The sequence below is a fragment of the Homo sapiens genome, chromosome 3 (assembly GCF_000001405.40).
Source record: "Homo sapiens chromosome 3, GRCh38.p14 Primary Assembly".
Lineage (NCBI taxonomy): Eukaryota > Metazoa > Chordata > Mammalia > Primates > Hominidae > Homo > Homo sapiens.
In genome coordinates, this window is record NC_000003.12 from 179,234,094 (window position 1) to 179,260,840 (window position 26,747).

The 26,747-nt window shown below is 38.8% G+C and overlaps 2 protein-coding genes and 1 pseudogene across 8 annotated transcripts in view; 1 reads left to right on the forward strand and 2 right to left on the reverse strand.

Moving 5' to 3' along the window:
• PIK3CA (phosphatidylinositol-4,5-bisphosphate 3-kinase catalytic subunit alpha) overlaps nucleotides 1–6,000 on the forward strand; it is a 91,968-nt gene extending 85,968 nt beyond the window's left edge. For both annotated transcript variants that reach the window (XM_006713658.5, NM_006218.4), the window contains exon 21: nucleotides 1–6,000. In XM_006713658.5, coding sequence (XP_006713721.1) covers nucleotides 1–271 — 271 coding nt within the window. In that variant the 3' untranslated portion in view covers nucleotides 272–6,000.
• Nucleotides 5,610–26,747, reverse strand: part of KCNMB3 (potassium calcium-activated channel subfamily M regulatory beta subunit 3) — a 27,348-nt gene continuing 6,210 nt past the window's right edge. Inside the window, exons 1-5 of one of the 6 annotated variants that reach the window (NR_028135.2) lie at nucleotides 24,855–25,798; nucleotides 16,650–16,841; nucleotides 10,402–10,600; nucleotides 8,716–9,191; nucleotides 5,610–5,971 (exon numbers count right to left, since the gene is read on the reverse strand). Coding sequence is in view for 5 of the 6 variants with exons in the window: in NM_014407.3 (NP_055222.3) it covers nucleotides 8,811–9,191; nucleotides 10,402–10,600; nucleotides 16,650–16,841; nucleotides 16,943–17,010 (840 nt within the window). In the remaining variant the exon portion in view is untranslated. Of the gene's footprint in view, nucleotides 5,972–8,670; nucleotides 9,192–10,401; nucleotides 10,601–16,649; nucleotides 17,523–24,854; nucleotides 25,799–26,747 lie in introns of those variants that run through there. The other 5 variants (NM_014407.3, NM_171829.3, NM_001163677.2 and 2 more) reach the window with 5 other exon arrangements.
• LRRFIP1P1 (LRR binding FLII interacting protein 1 pseudogene 1) overlaps nucleotides 23,167–26,747 on the reverse strand; it is a 4,308-nt pseudogene continuing 727 nt past the window's right edge.

The following is a 26,747-nucleotide window of genomic DNA, read 5'->3' on the forward strand; positions in this document are numbered from 1 at the left end:
GTTTCAGGAGATGTGTTACAAGGCTTATCTAGCTATTCGACAGCATGCCAATCTCTTCATAAATCTTTTCTCAATGATGCTTGGCTCTGGAATGCCAGAACTACAATCTTTTGATGACATTGCATACATTCGAAAGACCCTAGCCTTAGATAAAACTGAGCAAGAGGCTTTGGAGTATTTCATGAAACAAATGAATGATGCACATCATGGTGGCTGGACAACAAAAATGGATTGGATCTTCCACACAATTAAACAGCATGCATTGAACTGAAAAGATAACTGAGAAAATGAAAGCTCACTCTGGATTCCACACTGCACTGTTAATAACTCTCAGCAGGCAAAGACCGATTGCATAGGAATTGCACAATCCATGAACAGCATTAGAATTTACAGCAAGAACAGAAATAAAATACTATATAATTTAAATAATGTAAACGCAAACAGGGTTTGATAGCACTTAAACTAGTTCATTTCAAAATTAAGCTTTAGAATAATGCGCAATTTCATGTTATGCCTTAAGTCCAAAAAGGTAAACTTTGAAGATTGTTTGTATCTTTTTTTAAAAAACAAAACAAAACAAAAATCCCCAAAATATATAGAAATGATGGAGAAGGAAAAAGTGATGGTTTTTTTTGTCTTGCAAATGTTCTATGTTTTGAAATGTGGACACAACAAAGGCTGTTATTGCATTAGGTGTAAGTAAACTGGAGTTTATGTTAAATTACATTGATTGGAAAAGAATGAAAATTTCTTATTTTTCCATTGCTGTTCAATTTATAGTTTGAAGTGGGTTTTTGACTGCTTGTTTAATGAAGAAAAATGCTTGGGGTGGAAGGGACTCTTGAGATTTCACCAGAGACTTTTTCTTTTTAATAAATCAAACCTTTTGATGATTTGAGGTTTTATCTGCAGTTTTGGAAGCAGTCACAAATGAGACCTGTTATAAGGTGGTATTTTTTTTTTTCTTCTGGACAGTATTTAAAGGATCTTATTCTTATTTCCCAGGGAAATTCTGGGCTCCCACAAAGTAAAAAAAAAAAAAAATCATAGAAAAAGAATGAGCAGGAATAGTTCTTATTCCAGAATTGTACAGTATTCACCTTAAGTTGATTTTTTTTCTCCTTCTGCAATTGAACTGAATACATTTTTCATGCATGTTTTCCAGAAAATAGAAGTATTAATGTTATTAAAAAGATTATTTTTTTTATTAAAGGCTATTTATATTATAGAAACTATCATTAATATATATTCTTTATTTACATGATCTGTCCCATAGTCATGCATTGTTTTGCACCCCAAATTTTTTATTGTTCATAGCAGCATGGTCAGCTTTCTTCTTGATCTATAGATGAGGCTCAGGCACTATCCCATTTATACCAATAACCAGTGTATAACTACTTAAGGAAAACATAAAAACTTCATCTTCTTTCCTTTTATTTCTTATGTGAATCTCCCGTCTTCCATTCTCTTTTATAATTGAGAATGTCTCAATCATATGAAATTAGTTACCAGAATTAACACAATTTAGACTATCTTCCTGATTCCTTAAACCCCTTTACTGAAGTATACTCATGAATAATACTTTAAAATATGGGGGAATAGAAACCATGAACTTTTTACCTTTTTAAACTATTTATCCATATCTCCAAAGTAGAACATTAAACCATTTTAAGATATGTCTCATTCCCAAGTAGTCAGAGCTCACTCTCCAACTTTATTAAATACTATTTGAGCACAGGACACATTCTTAAACATTTTGAAAAACATTAACCCAAGATGTAGAGGCTACTGCTAGTCGTCATTCTAGAATCTGATATTTTACTCTGTATTTGAAATGAATGATTAATGTCCTAGGAAATTAGCTTTAGCAGATGTCCAGGTGCCACATCAAAAAAGTGCAATAATTATTGACAGTTTTTTAGATTAGGCATATTATTGGAAAACAACTTTATAAAGAGTGAACATTGTATACTCTAGTAAAACAGCATCACTTTAAAAATATTCATTTATGAAATCTGTTACCTATAGTTGAAGTCTTGAGTAGTGAACAAGGGACTCTAATACCAATACTCTTAATATCTGGCTATTTTAGATCCCTTAAAGGGCATAATTATTGGAAATTTAGGTATTTCACTAAAGCATGTATATAATATTGCCAACAAGAAAAGTAAATTTGAAGATTAAGGGAACTTACTTCTGCAAACTGTCTTGCGATAGTTAAGCAGAATTTAAACTCTGTTTTAAGCAGGAAACCAGAAAGATTATTTTGCAGTTGTAGAAGATTTCATAACTTATTAAAACTTATTAACATTTTGTGTTGTTTAGATATAGGCAGTTGATACATACTAACATCCCAGCCTTTTCAATATCAGGGTTAAATTATAGGAAAACTCAGTAAAATGGTACAAATCTGAAAGTTTGATGGTAGAAACTGAAGATTTAACAGAGAACTGTGTTTTACCCGAGTGCCAAAAATGCTGTGAGCCTCCTTGCACAAAATTTATACCACTTTTGCATTTTTATCTATCAGTCCAGATAGTTGTCTCCCCTCCTTCTCCCAGGACCTCTCCACCATTAAAATGCACAAACCACATGGCCGATTTCACCATTTACATTTATTTTCAAAAGTTACTACAACCAAATTAATTCTATTAGAAGAAATGTAGACAAATTCTATAAAGACTATAGATTGTGACCTAAGAAAGAAATGAGGCAAAGAACCAAACATTGAATTAAATGCTACATGGGTGACTAAGATCTGTTTCAAGTCAGTGATAATATAGCCACTTCTGGGTACTTCAGTATCAGAGATCAGTTCTCGTGGTTTAGACAGTTCCTATCTATAGCTGACTATCCTTGTCCTTGAATATGGTGTAACTGACTATTGGCTCTACAGTTTTATTGGGCCACTTAAGAAATATTTCCTTGAATAATTATTTTGAGAAAAAGTCTAAAAGTAATAAAAATAATTTTAAACACACTGTAGTAAGAAATGACTGTTGGAAAATTATGCTTTCACTTTCTACCATATTCTCAGCTATACAAAACCATTTATTTTGAAGATTTTTAGACTACTGTTAATTTGAAATCTGTTACTCTTATTGTGGAATTTGTTTTTTTAAAAAAGATGTTTCTAATTGGATTTTTAAAAGAAGAATGGAATTTGGTTGCTATTTTACAATAGAACCTAAGCTTTTTGTGGTTCTTAGTGTCCTATGTAAAACTTAGTGTCAAAGTAATCAACTTTGAGATTTTCCCTTCTATTCTGCTTTATATTAAAAGCCCATTAGAAAATGGGAACCTGGTGAATATATAATGAATTGTAAAATATTTTAATGTGTAACTTTTTCAACTGTGAAACTGACTTGATTTTTTGATGAAAACAGCTGCTGATAAAGTATTTTGTGTAAAGTGTAGTTCTTATTAATCAGGAAAATGATGACTTGATTAGACTGTATATGCCCTCTTGGATTTTATTTTAAATGGATTGGTGACTTTCACATAGGTAAAACACAGTCCATCTGTATTCTTTTTTCCATCAAAAATCGAGTGATTTGGAATTATAAAAAAATTGTGAGCAGCCTATTTGAAAGGCATCATGGAAATTTCACAGCACAATAACACGGATTTGTTTTTTCTTAATGATGTAAATCCGTTTAATTCATACTTTGATCAATAGCCCATGCTTGCCAACTCTGAAGAAATTTAATTTCCAGCAGTATTTTAAAGCTAGCCTGTTAACTTTTTCTGAATATTTAAAGTTCCTCTTTTTTCTATGTCTGCACAAACTGCAGACCTGGGCTGGACCCACATACTCAAGAGTCCACCTTAAGAAATTATTTTGATGTCCAAGACATCACTAAAATATTTAAGTTTAAAGATAATATGTGGTGTTAATAGATTGTGGTGCTTTTACTATTTAAAGACAACTTTCATACTTCAGATGTTTTTGAGAAGAGGGGAATGTGAGGGGAGGGGGCAGAACAGGGAGGAGTTGTTTGAATGAATTACATTCTTTATATCCATCCTGCTCATTTGGGGCATGTCTTTAAGAGAAGGCTGAAAGTTGTGAGAGTATATTGTATACCGTAAGAGAATCAACTCTTCATCATGGATGGGATTGTGAAGGCTGAACTATAAAATTCAGCATTGACAGCATCCTCAATTAATAATTCTTGGTGACAGAATAATACAGCTGGGCTGTTTTTTAAAATATAAACAATACCATTTTTAATTATTACATTAAAAATTGTAAATATATCTATGTGCCATGGCCTGGGAAGCCTGCTTTCTTTTTTCATAAAAATTATTTTTACTGTATGAAAAGATCATGGGGTTTAGCTCAAAATATCTGTGGTCCTGATAAAATTGGATTGGTAACTCTACCTCAGAAGGAAAATGGGAAAAAAAAATAGATGAGTCACAATTCAATACTTCAAGCTCAGAAACTGTGCAGATCACTGAATTTTAGATTTATAAAGTCAGAGTTGGCATGCCTTGTTTTTAATGATATGGAAGACCTTAAGAAAAAAACTTGGCTGAAGTTTAATCGTTGGTCCAGCCATTTGAAAAAGGCAATAGTTTGAGGAGGTTCCCGAATTCGGCATTTGAAATTCATTTTGTTCTCTCTTCTTCATTATTAGTGCATTTGGTGTGTGTATACTTGCACACAATTCTGTTTGTGTACACACTGCTTGCTTAGCCCTAGTCAAGAGGCATCTTTTATAAAAGGTGTAAAGAAATATCAAGGTTCTAAAATTCGGAAGAGTTTAGAATTTATTAGGAGTTTCCCAAGTTGGGATGTTAGTCTTTAAATAAACTTCATGCACCTATTCCACTTAAGGTTTTGCACCTCCTTTTTATTAGTGCAGTGCCATTTCTTCTGCTTGATTTTAGGTATGTTAATATTCCAGCCTTGCTAGTTAGCATAAAGTGACAGGTGTGAGCCATGAGGAAATTTTCTGACTTAATTTGTACACAACTACATATAAGAGTTTTAGTGGAGGAAAAAAATTAGTCCCTTGTGCGTATACAGTAGTTAGGTAAATGATTTTTCTACCAACAGTATACTCCATTCCTCATGTAGGTAAGTACAGAAAAGGTTTTTAAATGTATTTTTTTAGCCAGTTAAAGTCTATGAATCTATCTGCAACCTTATTTAATCTGTCACTATAATAATTTTGTGGTTATGCTAAGAACCATGTATACTTTTAGGTATTCTTATTTTTGTCAATTTTTCTAGGTTGGCAAGGAGGCAGAAAACCTTCATTGTTTCATATTAAAATATAATTAGACTAAACTTAATTCTAGTATGAATTTCCAAAATCATTATCTATTTATTTCATTTTTATTTAATTTTGTTTTTATTTCATTTTTAAAAGTCCCTTGTTCAATTTAACTTATGTTCCTAAGAGAGGTTGGAGAACTTGGCCTTCATCTGATTTCAAAAATGTTTTGAGTTTCAAATGAAGTTAATGGTTTCAGTGTGATTCAGTCCTCAGACCTAATTGGGTTGAATAAAATCTAAAAGAATATACCCTTTTGGAGCATAACATTTTAATACCTTGGGGAATGTGGCACTACCAAAAGAAGACTACTAACACGTCAGATGTTCACCTGGAAGCTTTATCAAGAAATTCGAACCACCCTTTTGGCCCCATTAATTGTAGCAAGTTTATTTCTCTATATTTTGTCATTCAGTGAATTGAAGTCCTGTGGTATACTGCATTCATTAGAAGAAAAACGTTTTTAATGTCCTTTTAATGATGGCCCAGAAAGCATTTGACACAGCAAGATGCATGTGTTACTATATTGAGAATATAGAATAATAACAGTATCACTAAATTTAAGACCTCTTCCCAGTCTTGCTGTTCCTAGCAAGAAGTTTGGCCTGTGACTGCACTTACTGTTTATGCTCATCAGAAACTGTCAATGTCTGCTTTTCTTTAACTCTGCAGTCTGTAACATCACGCTGTTTATTAAAAAAAAAAAGAAAAATTACTTTTTGTGTCCAAACAATCCTTAGTGTACTACATAAGCAAAAAACTGTGATAATTCTCTTTTGCCATTCCTTTTGAAAAGCAAGCCGGTGTTGCTAATAATCAAAATTTAGCTGAATTTGAGTTCTTTTCAGTAATGACTAAGAATACTTGATTGAAAATCTGAAACTATTATACCTTAAAAGCCAATTTTTCTACCCCAGTAAAGTGATGAATATTAAAGGAATGTATGTTTAAATATTTACTTCCTTTAAGCATAAAGAATTATATGCTTGTATTTTAAGAAATATATGTATATACATATATGTATGAATGTATGTATGTATATGCAATAGGTAAGTAGACTTTTTTCCAAGTCGTTTGAAGATCAGAACCTAGAAATGAAGTTAGGCTAGAAGCAAACTGGTTTTGCTTTCAGTTCTCATAAACATTGCAAAAGGTAAGTGTGGGCTTTTCTTTGACCATTAATGCACATAGGCATTAACAACTTAGTATTTCTGAGCAATTAAGCAAATAATTACTTAAATTTTATTTATTTGCCAAATGGTTTAAATAATTTTGAATTGACTTTGTTCTCCAGGGATAATCTCTCTCTTTGCTGGAATGAATCAGGTAGCTCCTATCTAAATGGAAAACTGTGGTAATTGAAACACACGCTTTATATTTTAAATTAGCAGTTTTGAATTTGTTAGGGAAAAAAAAAATCCCAGCAACTGCATATTGTTAGGTAGAAGTCAAATTTACAAAAACGGAATAGAGATGTGCCCTTGAGAAAAGTGTAGAATCTCAATGTGCAGATGATTTAAAATGTGCGTGCACATCAAATGTTCATGTGTACTTACATACTTTATTACAGAGAAGTCTTTGGTATACAAAATAGTTTACCACAACCTTTTAAACAGCAGGTTCTGGGCCTTAAATGCGTATCACATTTAGCCAAGAGAACTCAGGTAGGGGCATGGAAAATGAACTGCAGCTCCCTATCCCTAGCCTCTATACCAGCTGTCCAGTGAAAAGTACCAAGGCTCACTGAATGTTATAACCTAGCAGATTTTTAAATAAATGATCTAACATTTTTGAGCACTGCTACTAGATGCTAGAAGCTAAGCTAAAGTTTCACCTGCCCTACTTTGCTTATTCCATAAAATAACAACTGCGTGAAAGAACGGGTTATCCCCATTTTATAGATGAGAAAAGAAAGGTTTACACAGGTTAGCTTATTTGCCCAAAGTTGTAATTATGGCCTACAAAGTCAAATAAATCCTACTCTGAGACACATGTTCTTTCCACCATTGCACACTAGAAAGGAAAACACCAAGATTATTCATTACTCATCAAGTCAATATTGCTGTATTCAGCTAATTTAGTAATATGTGTCGAAATTAATTGCTAAAAGGGATTAAACTGACTTAGAATCAGTTTTTTGTTTGATTACATCTACATACAAAAGTAGCTTCAAATGTCTCATTCCACTGTCCATAATTTAAGATTTTTGAGTATAATAAAATTTTAAAGATACTTTGAGGCACTTTGGAAAATCAGACCAAAATCTCTTTTCCACTCATAGATTCGGCTTAATCAACCTGGAAAGCATTTGTTGAGAGCCTTATGACATCATTTAATAACCATGGTTGATTCATTAATTAAAGTACAGACAATTGTTGACTATCCATGTGGGACTTCTTTTCTATTAGGTTGATGCAAAAATAATTGCGGTTTTTCGCCATTAAAAGTTAACAGCAAAAACTGGAATTACTTTTGCACCAGCCTAATACGATGTGGATCATCTGAGATGAATGTTAAAATCCAGTATAGCTTCTTCATATTTCTGGCCCATTTTTCCCACCAGAAAGTGCACAAAGTGAAATGAGCTTATGAAAAGCTTAATTAACTAGAAAAATGTTACTGAAAGAAAAATTACATGGTACATGACAAGGCTAAATACTAGTAACTCTAAACTTAGTGAATTTTCTAGGCAGCAGCTTTCCTCTGCTGTCTAGACTGGTAAAGAACAAACTAAAGCCAAGCGCAGTGGCTCATGCCTGTATTCCCAGCACTTTGGGAGGCCAAGGCGGGCAAATCACCTGAGGTCAGGAGCTCAAGACCAGCCTGACCAACATGGTGAAACCCTGTCTACACTAAAAATACAAAAATTAGCTGGGCGTGGTGGTGCACACCTGTAATCCCAGCTACTTAGGAAGCTGAAGCAAGAGAATTGCTTGAACCCAGGAGGCAGAGGTCACAGTGAGCCAAGACTGTGCCACTGTGCTCCAGCCTGGGCGACGAGCAAAACTCCATCTCAAAAAGGAAAAAAAAAAAAAACTATAATAAATATGTTAGCTCCATGTTTTCTTAAGTTTTCTACCAGATTTTTGTCTTTGTATAGTGAACAAACTGTTAAGAACTTTTTTATGAGAAATATTTTAGTATGACTATATTGCATAGAGTTAGGCTGATGGTTCAGTGTTCAGTAGATTAGATACCCTCATTGTTTATTTCCATATTGACTGGTTCTAGCTAGAGCTGAAATTAGGCAAAGAATATCTTGAACTCATTTTGCTATACAGGAAAAAAAACAGTGCTTCCTTAGCTCATTTGGAAAGAGATTGGGATTAGAAAAGATGGTGAATTTGTATGTATTTATAGAAATAAATAGAATACAAAATGAGGCTTTTAAATTTTTTCCCACATGAAAATATGATACTTTAATTATTACCTTTTACATTATTAGTTTGCAGACAGGCATAATTAGGTCCTCAGTTGCAGAAATCACAGACATCTGAAGGCCAGCACTTTAATTTGGCCACCGTCTTAAGATTTCTCTGCTCTTCCTTTGCTCCTCCTCATAATGCACAGTTTGAACTGATGCTGTTCTATATAAGGTACTTTTCCACCTACCTCATCTCTGACTACAGTGCTATATTTTTCACACAGTAAGGACAGGTGTTGTGTTAATCTCACCATGCCAACAATCAGGGCACCACCTAGCAGAGTCAGTGAAGGCCAAAATAAACAGTGGAAGATAGCCATTTGGTCATACTTTTTTATAAGAATGACATCTTCAGATTGGCTGGCTGGACTGTAGAAGCATGAAAAGGGGGTTCCATTTTTGTGATCGAAGAATTCTTTTATGTCCAGAGCACTGTTGAGCAAATCATTTCTATCTTGGTGGCACTTAGGTGTGTAAAAGCACTAGGAATATGGAAGAGGGAAAAAGATAAAGGCACTGTCACCAATACCAAATACTTAACAGTTTTTAATTATGAAATAGCTTCAGGCTGAAGTTATTAGTGGGCAGTTTCAATCTTAGAAGGTGGTAAAATATTACATAGCTCATGGGAAAGGGTTGATTGGAGGGCCACAGTGAAATGGCCATTTCCAGTCATTAAGCAAGGATGTGGAAGAGAATTCTTAGTTATATGACATTGCAGGAGAGTCAGTGACCAACTTCATAAGGAATATGACTCCTCCCTACATGCAGGTTCTTGGACTCTTGGACAGTATGAATCCGTTTGTCCATTGAACAAAAATGTATTGGGCCTCACTATGAGCTTTCAACGCTTAGTAATGCCTCTGTTGTCTCTGTCTTGATCTCCTGTAGCAAAATATCACCCTGAAGAAAAGCACGTTGAGGCTTTTGCTCTAGACTCACAGAGAGGGAGCCCCACCTGGACTTTGGTTCCTGGGAGACAGAACCAGTGGAGAAGGGAGCTCTGTCAGCTGGTGACTTTTTTCAAAAAAGCTTGAGGTTTATTACCATATCCATTAGGTACTTGAGGTACTGTGCTAAAGGCCAAAAACTGTTTGAAATCTTAAAAATCATTGCATCCCAAACAGAAAACAAAAGTCATCGGATTGAAATTGATGCTTAAAGACAATAAAATGTAACATGTCAACTAATCTAACACAACTCAACTTTTATAGTTAGGTATAAATATAAATTTTAAATCATATGAAAGACTATTTCAGGGATCATTTCTATAATTCGTTAAATCATATGAACCCATTGTGTAACTTACTAAAATAAAAATAATCTTTACATTTATTTGATAAGAAAAATTACTTGATTCAAGGGAGACTGTGAGTACACTGTAGCATATGTCATATGGCGCGGAGTGGAATCTCCAAAAGAAAGACTCCCCACAAATGACTACTCATTGGCTCAGCCTATAAATTCCAGACACCAAGTTGTGAAATTGGAATAATTTCTCTCCTTTCTATATACCCCATTTCTCCACCAAGAAGAAAGCTTCATTTATCCTGATTTGATCACTATAAAAATGTTCACTCCAAAAAAATAGATTTATCCCTAAAGACAGCCCTGGGTTATTTATGTACCCTGCTAGGGACAGTCTGGCAGGGAAGGGTTGCTGTCATAAGAACTCTTTAAACTTTACAATACCTTGGGATTTATCTGGACAGCCTCTTCATTATAATGTAGGAGAGCTTTCTGACCTGGATGGCTGAGGTTCACAAACACCTGAAGACACGGGTACTTCCCCTGACCGTGGCAGTGCACACCACAGGTGAAGGCACAGTCCAGCCAGTCGTCCATGATATCTGTGTGGATGGCAGTGCAGGTCGATTCTTCTCTCTGAATGCTTCAATTTGAAAAAAAAAAAATGTTCTTCACTTATTAGAAAATTTCATTCTACATTTTGGTGTGGTTATGAGCTTATGTACACAATGCCCAAGGCATTTGTGTACAAGGCATTTGTGTATTTTGAGGTGGTGCAGGATCCTTACAGCAGGCACATAATAAACAGGGAGCATGGAAGACACAGAGTTGGGGTAAAGAGCCACAAAGTGCCAAGTTCCACCTCACTTCTGATGACCCTACTGGCATATTTCTCACTACACCAGTGGTTTTCAAACTTCAGAATCATCTGTGAGTTTGTTAGAATGAAGAATTTGTTAAACTGTGGATTCCAGGGCTTCATTCCAGAAATTCTGATTTGGTAGGTCTGACTTGAGGCCCAGGAATCTTTAATAGTATTTAAGATGCAGGTATTTGGAGAACCACAGTGTAAACAGTGTTAGCATTACCATAATGCTGTAACCACCAAGATTCACCCTCACTCAGGAATCTCATCACCTCTCATGCTCATCATCTCAAGATGCACTGGCTTGTCCTGATGAAAATGTGCCTTTGGAAGGAGTCTAACTACAGGGCCGTTGGTCAACATAGCCTACACAATTTCTGGCAACAAGGTACAATTCCACATACCCACTACTTCCAAAGAGGCAAGTGCAAATCATACATGGAATCTCTCAGTAGAATACTTACCATATTTTTGCTATCAATTAAGTTCCTAGAGGTCAAGAGCTATATCCAATTCATCCGTATGTTCCTCAAAGCATGAAACAGAATGCTTCTCACTGAGTAGATGTTTAATAAGTGCTGTACTGAATTAATTTTTTTGGGGGGGGGGATGGAGTTTCGCTCTTGTTGCCCAGGCTGGAGTGGTGCAATCTCGGCTCACTGCAACCTCCGCCTTCTGGTTTCAAGCGATTCGCCTGCCTCAGCCTCCTGAGTAGCTGGGATTACAGGTGCGCACCATCACGCCCAGCTAATTTTTTGTATTTTTAGTAGAGATGGGGTTTCACCGCATTGGCCTGGCTGGCCTTGAACTCCTGACCTCGTCATCCTCCCACCTTGGCCTCCCAAAGTGCTGGGATTACAGGCGTGAGCCACGGCTCCTGGTCTGAATTAAATTTTACTTGGAAAATTTCTTGAGAATTTTCACATGTAATACATATGCAAAACATCCCAGAAGGGACAGACAAAATTCCTGCCATGAAGACCTTGTGGTGATGTTGAAGAGAAAGGACATGTGTATATGTATGAAATAATTTGAAAACAAGTCCAAGACAAAGTAAACGAGGGGAAGAGGAAACGCTTTGATTGAATATATGAGACCAGCTCTTCATATACCCTCACACTCACATATAGGTGGACTCCTGTGTTTACTTACCGGTTCCTTAAACATAATAAGTTAGATTAGCAAGCTCTAAAGTCAGAATGTTTGAAAAGCAGGGCCAGGCGCAGTGGCTCATGCCTATAATCCCAGCACTTTGGGAGGCCGAGGCGGGCAGATCACTTGAGGCCAGGAGTTTGAGACCAGCCTGGCCAACATGGCGAAACCACGTCTTCACTGAAAATACAAAAATTAGCTGGGCATGGTGGCCGGCACCTGTAATCCCAGCTATATAGGAGGCTGAGGCAGGAGAATTGCTTAAACCCGGGAGGCAGAAGTTGCAGTGAGCCAAGATTGTGCCACTGCACTCCAGCCAGGGCAACAGAGGCCGACTCTGTCCCAAAAAAAAAAAAGTAAGAATGTTCGAAAAGCAATATTTAGCTAGGTTCATAATGCACTCTCACTAATCTCTTTGACCAAAATAATCATTTTCCCTTATTAATATAACAAACTTGAGACACACTGTGCAGTTTAACATGGCCTCAAGGTCTGGGGTATAAAAATCACTAGATATGGCCAAAGAAAAAATACTGGGCAAGTGAAAATACAAAAGCGGAAAATAAGATTATTTCATAGACTTAGCACTGGCCTGCTTTTTCACTAAATTAATTTATATGTTTATTTTAACTAGGCATCTTGAAATAATAATTTAGAGTTACTTTTTTATCTGTTAGAACTTAAGCTCTCTAAATCTTGACCGAGTACTGAACTGAGTATGATTTGAATTTTCCTTAAAGATTTTAGAAAGCTTCAAAATAGAGTGGGACATTCTGTCCCATGCACAAGGCCCCGGTCAGAGCCTTTCAGGTGGAACCAGGGATGTATTTAGGGCTAAAAAATAAGCATGTTCCTTCAATAGCATCGGGTGTGTATTTGGCTACAGCTGTGACAAAATCCATCATCTGATTGAGGGATGAGAGGTTGAGGGAGTGGGGATAGGTATGAACTACGCAGGGCTTCTTAACTACCACCCTTTATGGAGCAAAACTACTCGCTGAGATGGCACAAGATGTAAGGCAAGAGAGAGATGAGAACTCACCACTCTTAGGCATTCACTTAATTAATTTAACCAAATAATTTCCAGGAATGCTTAGAAAAGTAAAACTTAATTATGAGCAACAGTTTGGTACCAGCTTGCAGAAGGTACCCTCAAGCCATCTCCCAAATATGTCACATTTTTAAAAATGATCTGCCTGTGCACACACACGGACATTTACTCAACATTCCCATACATTCAAACATTCAATCAAATTACATAGACATGTAATGCATATATATATATATATGATGAGAGGAAAAGGAGTAAATGAAAAAGAGGAAAAAAAGACAGAATGAAGTCAGAAGTGAGGTATAGCCAAGACAAGAGAATCGCTTGAGCCTAGGAGTTTGAGACTAGCCTGGACAACATAGTGAGATCCCACTTCTTAAAAAAAAAAGTTTAAAAAAAAGTGAGGTACAAACATGTAATCTGCAGACCATAAGATCCCTTGTAGTTATGAGAACCGAGCTACAAAGTTGCCTCTGGGTTTCCTAGCAGCCAAAGCAATGAAGGAAACACAACCAGATACAAGACTCCTGGCGTCCATTAAATGAAAGTAAGCTGGTTGATCAGGAGCAGCACAGCTTCTCCTGGTGCTAATACCAGAGAGAAGCTTCTTCTGGAATTCTTCCAACAGTGGCACTGTGTGCTATAGTAAATGGTGACTTCTACATCTTTCCCCTAACAATGGTAACCTAGGAATGGCAGGAGATGAATCATAAATAACAGAAGTAGGCCACTCTCTTCCTTTTTTATGACCCCTTTCCCTCACTGAACTCCTAGGCCTTCCTCTTCCACTCCCCCTGGGCCTCCTGTTGCTCTTTGGCTGTCCAAAAAAAAAAGGGCTGTCCAAAAATAAAGCAATGTCCAAAAAGCACCCCTTGCCTTCCTTTTACCCTGAACTGACCTGGCCCCAGAGTACCACATGTTGTGTGGGCCATCCTACAAAATTAAATAGCCCCTCCCCTTCCCTAATCAGAACCCCCATTCCCCTCATTTCAGCAAACATCATTTAGGTATTAAGAAGCAAGTCTTACGTCAGAATGACAGGCATATTATTTACCGGCTATGTGAACTTGGGCAAGTTACTTGGCCTTTCTGAGCCTCAGCTTTCTCATTTATAAAATGAAAACTAAAATAACACTTCCATCATGGGCTGCTGTAGGTTTAAGTAGGATAAAATATAGTATGTATTGAGCATACAGCATATACTTAATAAGTAGCAACTAAAGTTGACCCTTGAACAATTCAGGGGTTAGGGATGCCAACACCACACCCCCAAACCTGCAGTCGAAAATTTGCATATAACTTTTGACTCCTCAAAAATTTAACTACTGGTCAGGCATGGTGGCTCATGCCTGTAATCCCAGCACTTTGGGAGACCAAGGTAGAAGGATGACTTGAGCTTAGGAGTTCACGACCAGCCTGGGCAACATAGGGGGATCCCATCTCTACCAACAATTTAAAAATTAGCCAAGTATGGTGGCACACACCTGTGGTCCCAGCTACTTGGGAGGCTGAGGCAGGAGGATCGCCTGAGCCCAGGAGGTCGAAGCTGCAGTGAGCCATGATTGAACCACTGCACTTCAGCCTGGGTGACAGAGTGACACCCTGCTTCAAAAAAAAAAAAAAAAAACTTAACTACTAATAGCCTACTGTTGACTGGAAGCCTTACCAATAAACAGTTGATTAAGACATATTTTGTATGTTTATATGTATTATATACTGAATTCTTACAATAAAATAAGCTAGAATAGCCAGGCACAGTAGCTTATGCCTGTAATCCCACTGACTCAGGAAGCTGAGGTGGGAGGACTGCTTGAGCCCAGGAGTTCAAGACTGCAATGAGCTGTGATCACACCACTGCACTCCAGTGTCACAGAGCAAGACCCCGTCTCTTTTTTTTTTTTTTTTTTTTTTTGAGACAGAGTCTCGCTCAGTCACCCAGGCTGGAGTGCAATGGCGCAATCTCGGCTCACTGCAAGCTCCACCTCCTGGGTTCACACCATTCTCCTGCCTCAGCCTCCTGAGTAGCTGGGACTACAGGTGCCCGCCACCGTGCCCAGCTAATTTTTTTGTATTTTTAGTAGAGACGGGGTTTCAGCATGTTAGCCAGGATGGTCTCGATCTCCTGACCTCGTGATCCACCCATCTCGGCCTCCCAAAGTGCTGGGATTACAGGCGTGAGCCACCGCGCCTGGCCCAACCCCTTCTCTTAAAAAAATAAATAAATAAGCTAGAGAAAAGAAAATGTTATTAAGAAAATCATGGCCAGGCATGGTGGCTCACGCCTGTAATCCCAGCACTTTGGGAGGCCAAGGCGGGCAGATCACAGGGTCAGGAGTTCAAAGGTCAGGAGTTCAAGACCAGCCTGGCCAACATGGTGAAACCCCATCTCTACTAAAAATACAAAAATTAGTGGGCATGGTGGCAGGCGCCTGTAATCCCAGCTACTCAGGAGGCTGAGGCAGGAGAACTGCTTGAATTCGGGAGGCAGAGGTTGCAGTGAGCCAAGATCGTGCCACTGCACTCCAGCCTGGCGACAGAGCAAGACTCCGTCTCAGAAAAAAGAAAAGGAAAGAAAATCATAAGGAAGAACAAGATCATGTCATTTGCGGGGACATAGATGAAATGAAGCTGGAAGCCATTATCCTCAGCAAACTAATGCAGAAACAGAGAACCAAACACTGAATGTTCTCACTTAAAAGTGGGAGCTGAATGATGAGAACACATGGACACCTAGAGGGGAGCAACACACACTGGGGCCTCTCAGTGGAGTAGGGGGAGGGAGAGCATCAGGAAGAATAGCTAATGCATGCTGGGCTTAATACCCAGGTGATGGGTTGATCTGTGCTGCAAACCACCATGGCACACGTTTACCTTTGTAACAAACCTGCACATTCTGTACATGTACCCCGGAACTTAAAACAAAAATTGAAGAAAAAAAATCATAAGGAAGAGAAAACATGTTTACTATTTACTAAATGGAAGTGGATCATCATAAAGGTCCTCTCCCTGTCCTCTTCATGTTGAGTAGGCTGAGGAGGAGGAGAAAGAGGAGGGATTGATCTTACTGTCTCAGGGGTGGCAGGCACAGAAGAAAATCCATTTATAAGTGGATTCCCGAAGTTCAAACCCATGTTGTTCAAAGGTCAACTGTATCACTACATATATTGAATAAAGAACCTAATTAAAAGGAAGGAAACTAATATGTATTGAGCAACTACTATGTGCCAGGTAGACACTGTCAAACTCAAAAAATTCAGACTCAAAAAACTTTTATTGTGCTCACATACAAGGTTTAACTCTCTCTTGGAATACCAACATTTTAAGGGGAGGATTTATGACCTAAATGAAGAAACTATAATTTGTGGATTACGTGTTTGGAGGTATATATAGATTATGAGATGGGAGGAGGCAGTGCAGGGAAATATCTTTGACCTTCTCGCCACCTCTTCCTCCACACCCAGCTGCCCCCAGCACTGACAGCGGAAGAGGAATTGTATTTTTCTTTTTCTAGACCATGGCAGAGAGTCACAGATTGAGAAACCAAAGCCAGCCTCTCCTCCTTTACCGCTGTGCCTGGATCTTATCTGAATTGGAAACTCTAGATTTCCTTCCTCTGTTTCTTACCTGAGCATAAAAGGCTTTAGAATGGTTGTTCCGAGCAAGAAGAACATTAGGACTGAGAAGCCCATCATGGCAAACCCCAGCATCACGGCTCGGTCCTCTCCAGCACTGGATGGCAGCCTCTTGTGCACATCTAGTGGGTCTCCATCACTGTAGTCTGTCTCTCTCTTCTTCCCTGAGGCAGGAAAGGCTGTCCTTTGGGGAAAGGGAGAAGGAGATACTGCAGTGAGCTCATAAAGAAGGGGGAACATTTCCAATCCATGGGGACTGGAGGGATAATCTCATTTGCTGCCTACCTGTGTCTCGTGAGCAGGATGAATGCAACAAAATGAAATCCCAGTTCAGAGCTTGGTGAAAAGTCCATCTAAATAAGCTAAAGTGATGTGTAATCAAGTATTTTTAAAGATATTGTAGCAAACAAGCCTAAGAAATGTTGCCTCATGCAAGTCTGTAGAGATCTGTTTAATCAATAACTAGAGAATGTTGTATGTAAATAAGTGTTACGAACTTTGTTATCTTTCAGGGATATTGCACGTCCCTCCTGAAAATTTGTTTACATTCTCCTTTGAATTCCACATGGAAAGAATGACTCAAAAAGTTCACATTTGGAATTAACAGCGTCCTGAACAGGGTTTGACTTATTCTTTCATATTCACCTGTTGGAAAGGCAGCATATCCACCACCAGAATTTCTGGCCACTGCCCAGTCCACTCAGAATTATGAAGTTGTCATGGCTTCTTTGCTCCTCTCACCCTCCTTCTCCTCCTCTCTGGCCACTCATGGTTCTGCATAAGTGTCCCTTCATTTCTTCTCTCCTCTCTCCACTGTGCCTGCAAACCTGCTCCAGCAAAGGATGAGATACATTCTCGCAGGGCAGGGTGTCTGGTGAACAGAAGAGTCCAACACAAAGGTCGCAAACCGGTGGGCATGGCGGCATCCAGCCCACAGATGTGTTTTGTTTGGCCTTCTCTGTCGTTTTTTGTTTTTGTGTTTTTTGGTTTTTTTTGAGACGGAACCTCGCACTGTTGCCCAGGCTGGGTACGATCTCAGTTCACTGCAACCTCCTCCGCCTCCCAGGTTCAAGCGATTCTCCTGCCTCAGCCTCCCTAGTAGCTGGGATTACAGGCGCCGGCCACCATGCCCAGCTAATTTTTGTATTTTAAGTAGAGACAGTGTTTCACCATGTTGGCCATAATGGTCTCGAACGCCTGACCTCATGATCCACCCACCTCAGCCTCCCAAAATGTTGGGATTACAGGCGTGAGCCACTGCACCCGGCCTGGTTTATTATTATTTTTTTAATGTGGGATAACTTGTTAAGACCTTAAAAATCATGACATTTCTCATAAAAATGCTGAGTTCTGACTTTGGAAATAATCCCAAGATGCACGTCCCTGCAGATGAACAGCGGGCCCAGCAGAGCAGTGGCTGCCCCTGTGGAAGGTGTGTTCTCTAGTTTGCCAAAATCCCTCCACTTCCTACAGTGTCACTGATTTGCCATTCCCTGCTCAGTAGCCATTTGAGTTCCAGAAGTATCTCCATTTTAAGAAGCTTAATGAAATCTTAAGCCAAACAAATGCAGCACTAATGGTAGAAACACAGGCTCCATCAAGCTTCCTAAAAGCTTACTGCATTTTAAAGTCAAGCAAAAACCCCATCAAGGAAATTACTGGTTGTTTTTTTCCCACAAGCATAGTTTATGCCTTATCCCACATCCTTCCCCTTCCCTCTCCCTAGCTCCCTTTTCCCCCAGCAACATCTTTAGGTTCTAAAGCGAGTAAAAGGAATGTCAGACAATCCAGAATGTTCCAAGAGCCTGTGCCAGGAAGCACCAACCTCAGAAGGTGGGGCACTCCATGGTTAACACTTCTTTGGGACCCGAGGATCTAGTTTAGGAATTTTTAGTTGTCTTTGATATTTTACTCATCCCCTATCATCCTACCACCAGAGAAGGGGCATGGAAAAAAAATTTAATGAAATTTGAACCTGTACTTTTTTTTTTTTTTTTTTGAGATGGAGTCTCCCTCTGTCACCCAGGCTGGAGTGCAGTGGGGCAATCTCGGCTCACTGCAACCTCCGTCTCCCGGGTTCAAGCCATTCTCCTGCCTCCGCCTCCTGAGTAGCTGGGACTACAGGCGCCCACCACCACGCCCGGCTAATTTTTGTATTTTTAGTAGAGACGGGGTTTCACTGTGTTAGCCAGAATGGTCTCCATCTCCTGACCTCGTGATCCACCCACCTCGGCCTCCCAAACTGCTAGGATTACAGGTGTGAGCCACTGCACCCAGCCACATTTTCTAATTTATCAATAAATATGACAGATTGATTAAAAGAAAGTTTTAGCCCTAAAGTAGAGTTTGATGGTTTTTGTAGTTTCCAGGACCCAATATCCTGCATTTTCCCTTGTGCTCTAAAGCTGGACTTTAGTTGCTCTGTAGCGTAAGGTATCCCAGAGGTTTATTGTAAGATATCCTTGGAATCCATGGGTGAAGAGGCTTATAATGAGGTCGCTCTTCTAATGCATCTCTAATACATTCTTTAACATACCCAATTATAATGGTATGTTATAAAAAACCGGCATAACCCGATTCTGATCTAATTTAGGAATAAGACAGACCTGTACTGTCCTAGACAAGACTTTTTATTTATAATTTTTCTGCCCACTTTGTTCCAAGGCTTTATGAAAAGTTGACAACTTCATAAGTCACTTGGAAAGAAGTTATTTCATGTGTGGGGAAGGGATAATATAAAATAATCATAAAAAACTAAAACATAGATAGGTTTGGCCAGGTGCAGTGGCTCATGCTTGTAATCCCAGCACTTTGGGAGGCCAAGGTGGGCAGATCACCTGAGCTCAGGAGTTTGAGACCAGCCTGACCAACATGGTGAAACCCTGTCTCTCCTAAAAATACAAAATTTAGCCAGGCACGGTGGCATGCGCCTGTAATCACAGCTTCTCAGGAGGCTGAGGCAGGAAAATCGCTTGAACCCGGGTGGCAGAGGTTGCAGTGAGCCAAGATCATGCCACTGCACTCCAGCCTGGGCGACAGAGTGAGACTCCATCTCAAAAAAAAAAGTAAATAAATAAATTTAAAAATTTTTTTAAAAAGCCCACATAGATATGTTTTTATTATTGTAAAAGTAACAGGCTTCTGTTTCAGTGGTATGGTACACTAGACACCCACTCTAACTACAGACAACTAAAACTTCTGGCCAAAGCTTAAAAAGAATTGGAAATACTCAAAAGACAAAAACTATGTGAAAGTAGGAACCCAGAAAGGAAGGTGGACAGAAGTCAAGTTTTAACTTGAGGGCATTTGCGGAACTTGGTGAACTTGAGCTTTTGTTTCACAGTTTATAGGGTCACAGGGACAGGAGACAATGTCCAGGGTCTATCCGAGGTATGTAGTTTAATATACCATCCAACTAGAGCTGGGACCCCAAAGGACTTAAAAGTCAGTGTCAGGTTGAACTGGAAATAGCCCCTCTCCCTTCACCCACACCGTACCACTCCATAGGAAATGGCAAGGAAAATGCCTTTCTCAAACCTTAACACTGACTAAAAGAGGAAAACTACAATCTCCCCTGAAATTTTAGATAATCCTCAAGGGGATCCTCAAGGGAGTTTACAGCCTGAATTCATACTACCTGGGTAATACAAAAATCTCAAGCTAAGAATTTCGTGTAATGTTGTTTAAGTAGGTAGTGCCCTCTGCAACCTGGCAAATTTAAATACGTATGTTCTCTGTAGGCACACACATTTAACTTAGGCCTTAAAAGAATTCTATAGGCCAGGCGCAATGGCTCACGCCTGTAATCCCAGCACTTTTGGAGGTCGAGGTGGGCGAATCATGAAGTCAGGAGATCGAGACCATCCTGGCCTACATGGTGAGAAACCCTATCTCTACTAAAAACACAAAAAATTAGCTGGGCGTGGTGGCACGTGCCTGTAATTCTAGCTGCTGCGGCAGGAGAATCCTTTGAACAAGGAGTCGGAGGTTGCAGTGAGCCAAGATTGCGCCACTGCACTCCAGCCTAGCGACAGAGCAAGACTCGTCTCAAATAAAATAAAATAAAAAAAGAAGACGTATATAAATGTCCAAGGAGTATATGCACTCATTTAGAAGTCATAAAACACACAACAGCCAGGCGAGGTAGTTCATGGCTATAATCCCAGCACTTTCAGAGGCTAAGGCAGGTGGATCACCTGAGGTCAGGAGTTTGAGACGAGCCCGGCCAACATGGCTAAGCCCTGTCTCTATTAAAAATACAAAAATTAGCCAGGTGTAGTGGCAGGCACCTGTAATCCCAGCTACTCGGGAGGCTGAGGTGGGACAATCACTTGAACCCAGAAGGTGGATGTTGCAGTGAGCTGAGATCGTGCCACTGCACTTCAGTCTGGGCAACAGAGCAAGACTCTATCTCAAAAAAAAATGAATAAATAAATACATAATAAAAAATAAAATAAAAGTCATAAAACACACAGGAAATCAAGGCGTTTGAGTGCAAAAAAAATAGACCACAAAATGAGATCCACGAAAAATTTCAGATATTTGCATAGAATATAAAATACACATCTGTAACATATTTAAAGAAATAAAGGAAGGATCCAAAATGTCAGAAATCAAGGAATTCTAAAATGTAGAGCTAATATTTAAAAAAGAATTTATAGAAATCAAAAATAAAATAATTGAAAGTAAAAATTTAATGAACAGACATAACACTCAATTAGATACATCTGAGAAGATAATTAGTGAACACAGAGCTGGATCTGCAAAAATAGCCAGAGTATAATACAGAGAGATTTTTAAATGGAAAGTATTAAAGAGAGGTTCAGAGACATGAAAGATAGATTAAATAGTGTAACATAATATCTATTCAGAATTCCAGAAGAAAAGAGACATAAGTCAGAAGCAATATTTTAAAAAGATAGTCAAATTCTAGAACTGATTGAAGACCCAGTTCCCAGACTCCAGAAGCCCATGGAATAAAATAAAGAGGAACCCACACTTAAACACATCACAGATATATTGCACAGCTACAAAGACAAGAGAAAATCTTAACAGTCGCCAAAGAAAAAGACAAATTAACTTCAAAGTAATGACAATTTGGCTGAGAGCTTACTTCTCTGTAACAAGACTAGAAGCCATAAGGCAAGAATATTATCAATATACTGAGAAAAAGTAACCACAGAATTCTATGTCTACAAAAAAATCCTCTCAATGAATAAAGACATTTCAGACAAAGACATTTCAAACACAAAACTGAGTTTGTCCTTGATAGACCCTCACTGAAGGAAAAGGGTCAAGTATTTACTCAAGGCAGAACGAAAAAAATCCAGATAACAGCTGATATTTAACCAGAAATGAAGAGCAAATACAGAAGTAAACAGGTAAGTAAAGATATTAACTCTAGGCTGGACACAGTGGCTCACGCCTGTAATCCCAACACTTTGGGAGGCCCAGGTGGGCAGATCACCTGACGTCAGGAGTTCCAGACCAGACTGCCCAACATGGCGAAACCCCATCTCTACAAAAAATACAAAAATTAGCTGGACGTGGTGGCACACACCTGTAATCCCAGCTACTCGGAAGGCTGAAACAGGAGAATCACCTAAACCCAGGAGGCAGAGGTTGCAGTAAGCCAAGATCACACCACTGCACTCCAGCCTGGGCAACAGAGAAAGACTCCATCTCAAAGAAAAAAAAAGATATTAATTCTACAAAATAATAATAATAGTAATTATCTTATTACTATTATGTCTTGTGGGGTTAAAAGAAAAGATAAATACATGACAAGAGAATATAATTTAGAGGGAGTAACAGTGATAATTTTTCCATGGGGAAAAATAAAGACATTAATTTCATGTTGAAAAGTTCAAATATGCATGCTAAATAGAAATATCACCTTTCTCTACTCTTTTAGGTGATACTCCAGAAATTCCAAACTAGTAGAGAAACAAAGAATGGAAGGGAAAAAAATCAATCCAAAAAAGGCAATAAAGAAGAGGGAAAAACTCATGAAAAAGTCAGGACAAATAGCACAAAATAACATGATAGAATAATGTTATTGCATCAGTATATCAGTAATTACAATAAAACTAAATGGAGTAAATGATCCAGTTAAAAGATAGAGAGTAGGGCAGGCTGTGGTGGCTCATGCCTATAGTCCCAACACTTTGGGAAACCAACGTGGGAGAATCACTTGAACCCAGGAGTTCGAGACCAGCCTGGGCAACATAGCAAGACCCTGTCTCTACACAATAAAAATTAAAACACCATCCAGTTGTAGTGGCACACCTATAGTCCTAGCTACTCAGGAGGCTGAGCCAGGAGGATTGCTTGAGCCCAGGTGTTTGAGGCTGCAATAAGCTTGATTGTGCCACTGCACTCCAGCCTCAGTGATAGGTGAGACCCTATCTCTAAAAAAACTGTTTTTCAAATATAAAGATTGTCAGACTAGATTTAAATACATATAGATGGTCCCCCAACTTAAGATGGTTCCACTTGCAATTTTTTTTACAACTATAAAATGTTTTTATTTCAATTACATAATAACACTTATGTTTTCCTCAAATTTTAATGAGGATTTGGTCTTTTTGCATTCAATTCTATCTTGTAACAGTAATATGAATCTACATAATTTCATAAAATGTCAACATTCATAAGGTACATTCCTTTGTGATTTTATATTTTACAATTAAATCTAACTTTACAATTATTTTTAAATGTTTCTTTATATAGAAAACAGATATTTTCTTCAGGCAGATCAAAACAAGAATTTTCCAATAAGAATATACTGGGACATAACAAATGAAAACATTTATAACAAAATACCAAAAGTGATTCAGCTCTTTAAAATATCCTACTCCAGTCTAATTTGTAGTTTGCACAAGAACAAGTAACCTTTTTTTACTGTTCTTTTGAATGATGATTAGAAATTCAAACAAAGAGAAGTAATTTTAAGGTTCAAAAACTTTTTCTTTTTTTTAGAGACAGGGTCTCACTCTGTCTCCCAGGCTAGAGTATAGTGGTGCAATCATAGCTCACTGCAGCCTTGAACTCCTGGCCTCAAGCGATCCTCCAAACTTGGCTTCCCAATGTGCTAGGGTTACAGGCATGAAAACATTGTTTTGTGTGTGTGTGTGTGTGTGTGTGTGTTTTTTAGACAGAGTTTCGCTCGTTGTCCAGGCTGGAGTACAATGGCTTGATCTTGGCTGACTGCAATCTCCGCCTCGCAGGTTCAAGCGATTCTCCTGCCTCAGCCTCCGGAGTGGCTGGGATTACAGGCGCCCACCACCACGCCTGGCCAATTTTTTGTATTTTTCGTAGAGACAGGGTTTCACCATGTTGGCCAGGCTGGCCTTGAACTTCTGACCTCAGGTGATCCACCCGCCTTGGCCTCCCAACGTGCTGAGATTACAGGCGTGAGCCACCACACCCGGCCAAAAACATTTAAAAAATGACTGTCCCTGCTCAAATACTGCAGTAGGAAATGTAATTTGACATGTATCACTTCCAGAAAAAATCTTTAAACTTTGTATAAAATGAATTTGATACATCATCAGCATGAAGTTAAAATCTCCTACAAAGTAAATTCAAGTATCATCAACAATGAGATCCAAAAGCATTGGTTCAAAATCAAAGACTTATATGAGGTGAAGGCAAATAAAGCCCCTCATGCTTTCAGACCTTTACTTGTTATCCTTAAAATGATTATTGTTCTAAGGTGCAAATCTTTTCAGTGACCTATTTGCTATTTGGCGGTTTATCTCCTTTAAATAAAATACCATACAGGTTATAATGTATATTTTAAAATCAAATATGAAAGTACACATATATGAACAAGACATTAATTTAAATATCAATTATATTCATAATACAGAAGTCTAAGAATGCTATTTGGTCATTTCAATTAGATGCTGATATATTTGGTCAAGAATATTCACATTCCTATCAGCCTAAGGCAAATGGTAAATGCTTCTATTTTTATTAAGTGGACTATAAACAGTAGACATTATTGTTTGATACTACTGGATATATGCTCTCAATTAGAATGTACACTGATAACAAATATGTCTTTCTAATCTGGGTGATAACCTCAATGATTACATGGAAATCTACAAGTAACAGTCTATAACTTAAAGCAGTAGATCACCTGGTGATTGGCATACAGTGCATCTCTATGAATTTAGAACATTCTACTTACATTGGCAGTGGAGAGAAAAGAGCCCCTCACACTCAGACTTCCTGTGCACCACGCCTGCCGCCTGCCTCAGCTTAGGACATGGTACGGTCTTCTTTGCTTTTGCCCTTCTCGTTCCCTCCTCTGGTATCTTCTCTGCTTTCTGGATTGAAGTCCCCCGGCTCTCCTCCTGGTGCCAACAAGTCATGGTTTTTTAGGCTATTGCTGTCTAAAGCTTTCCTGATGGTCTGACTTGGATGTTCTGACATCCCACACCTCTCTGTACTTTCTGCTTCACAGGCATCACTAATGTCCTGTGAGGGACTTTCATTTTTGGGTACGGTGCAGTGATCTGCATCTTCGCTCTCTGGTTCTTCAGGATTGCTTTAAGTGGCACCAGCTATTTTAGCATTATCTTTTGCAACACCTTCATCTAATTCTTCACCACCAGCCCTCGGGCCTGATGATTGAACTGTGACATCCTCAAAATCTAATGTGTCTCTACCAGCTAGTACCTCCTCAGCTGCTGTTTTTACATCATTGCCTTCTTGGTCAAGTTTTCCATCCAACTTCATTTTAGGATTCTCTGGACAATCAACATTTTCACTGCTTTCTGCTGCAATTTTCTGTTTTGGATTTTCAGTCACCTCGTTTTGGGCTTCCACTGCTGACTTTCTGTCAGTAGACTTTACCTGCTCTTCTTCCTTAATTTCACTTAAATCTGTGTTCTGATAAGTTAACTCTTTTTAAACATCTTTAAGGGTTTCTATGGGTACTGGGGATTTTTTCCTCTTCTTTTTCTTTTTCTTGTTCTTTCTCTTCTGCAATGAGTCCAATGCCTCTCCCTGTTGGTCATTCTTTTCTTCATCTGGCTCTTTCATATCTGAGGGTTCACTTTGAGTGTCTACTGTACTTGGACCTGTCGCCTCCTGACCCTTGCTCTCAGTTCCTGCTGGAGAACCAGGAACTTCTGTCTTGATTGGTTTCTCATCCCTTAATCCTTTTTCTTCACCCTCTTCTTCGTTGTGATCCCTACCTGCTTCTGTACTCTGCACTGGAACCTCCTTGGGCTCAGCTGCTTCCTGGTTGGTGAATTCTTTCTCTAAACTATGCCCTATGCTTGTCTCTAACTGTTGGGGGACCTCTACCATACATCTGTCATCATGATAAACTGTGTCATCACTATGCCCTAAAGGACATGAGGCCACTGTGTCTGCCTGCTCTCCAACCTGAGTCACCGCTGCCTCTCCCACATTCTCTGTGTGGCTCCCACCATCTAAGTCACTCCAACAGTTGGATGGCTCAAGGGGAGTTCTGGTCCTGTCATCTGGTGCACCCATGACCTCATTTGACTCAACCTGTGCTGTGTTTTCAGGGAGAGAAGCGCTCTCAAGAATTTGGCTTTGAACCTGTTCCTCATAGGTAGCACCTGCTAAGGTTCCTAGGAATGGGGCAGTGTCTTCAGAGGATTTCTGGTCCTCGGTATTCTCACCAGCAGTGAATACCTCTATGTCCACACAATCCTTCACTGTGTCCTCTGTGTGTTGTTCTTTCTCAGTATTGTGCAAGATTTCTCTTTTCCCCACATTCGCCACGATTTCATTCTTCACCTCCACCTCACTGGCTTTCCTAGGGTCCCATCCCCTGTCGACTTGAGGGCATTTAACTCTTCTTTCGTCATCTTGGTAGGATCTTGGTATCAAACATTACTGAGAGTGTCGGAAGTCTCTCCATTGGTAACTATTTCTGAATTTAGGATTATTCCATGTTTCTCGAGCATTTCCTCTGTTTGCTTCAGGGCCTCCTTGACTTCAGCAAACTGAAACTGCAGTATACTGTGGGCGTGTTTTTCCCTTTCAAATTATTTGTTTTTCTCTTCGTACTGCCGCCTATATTCAGCCAGCTGTTCTTCAATCT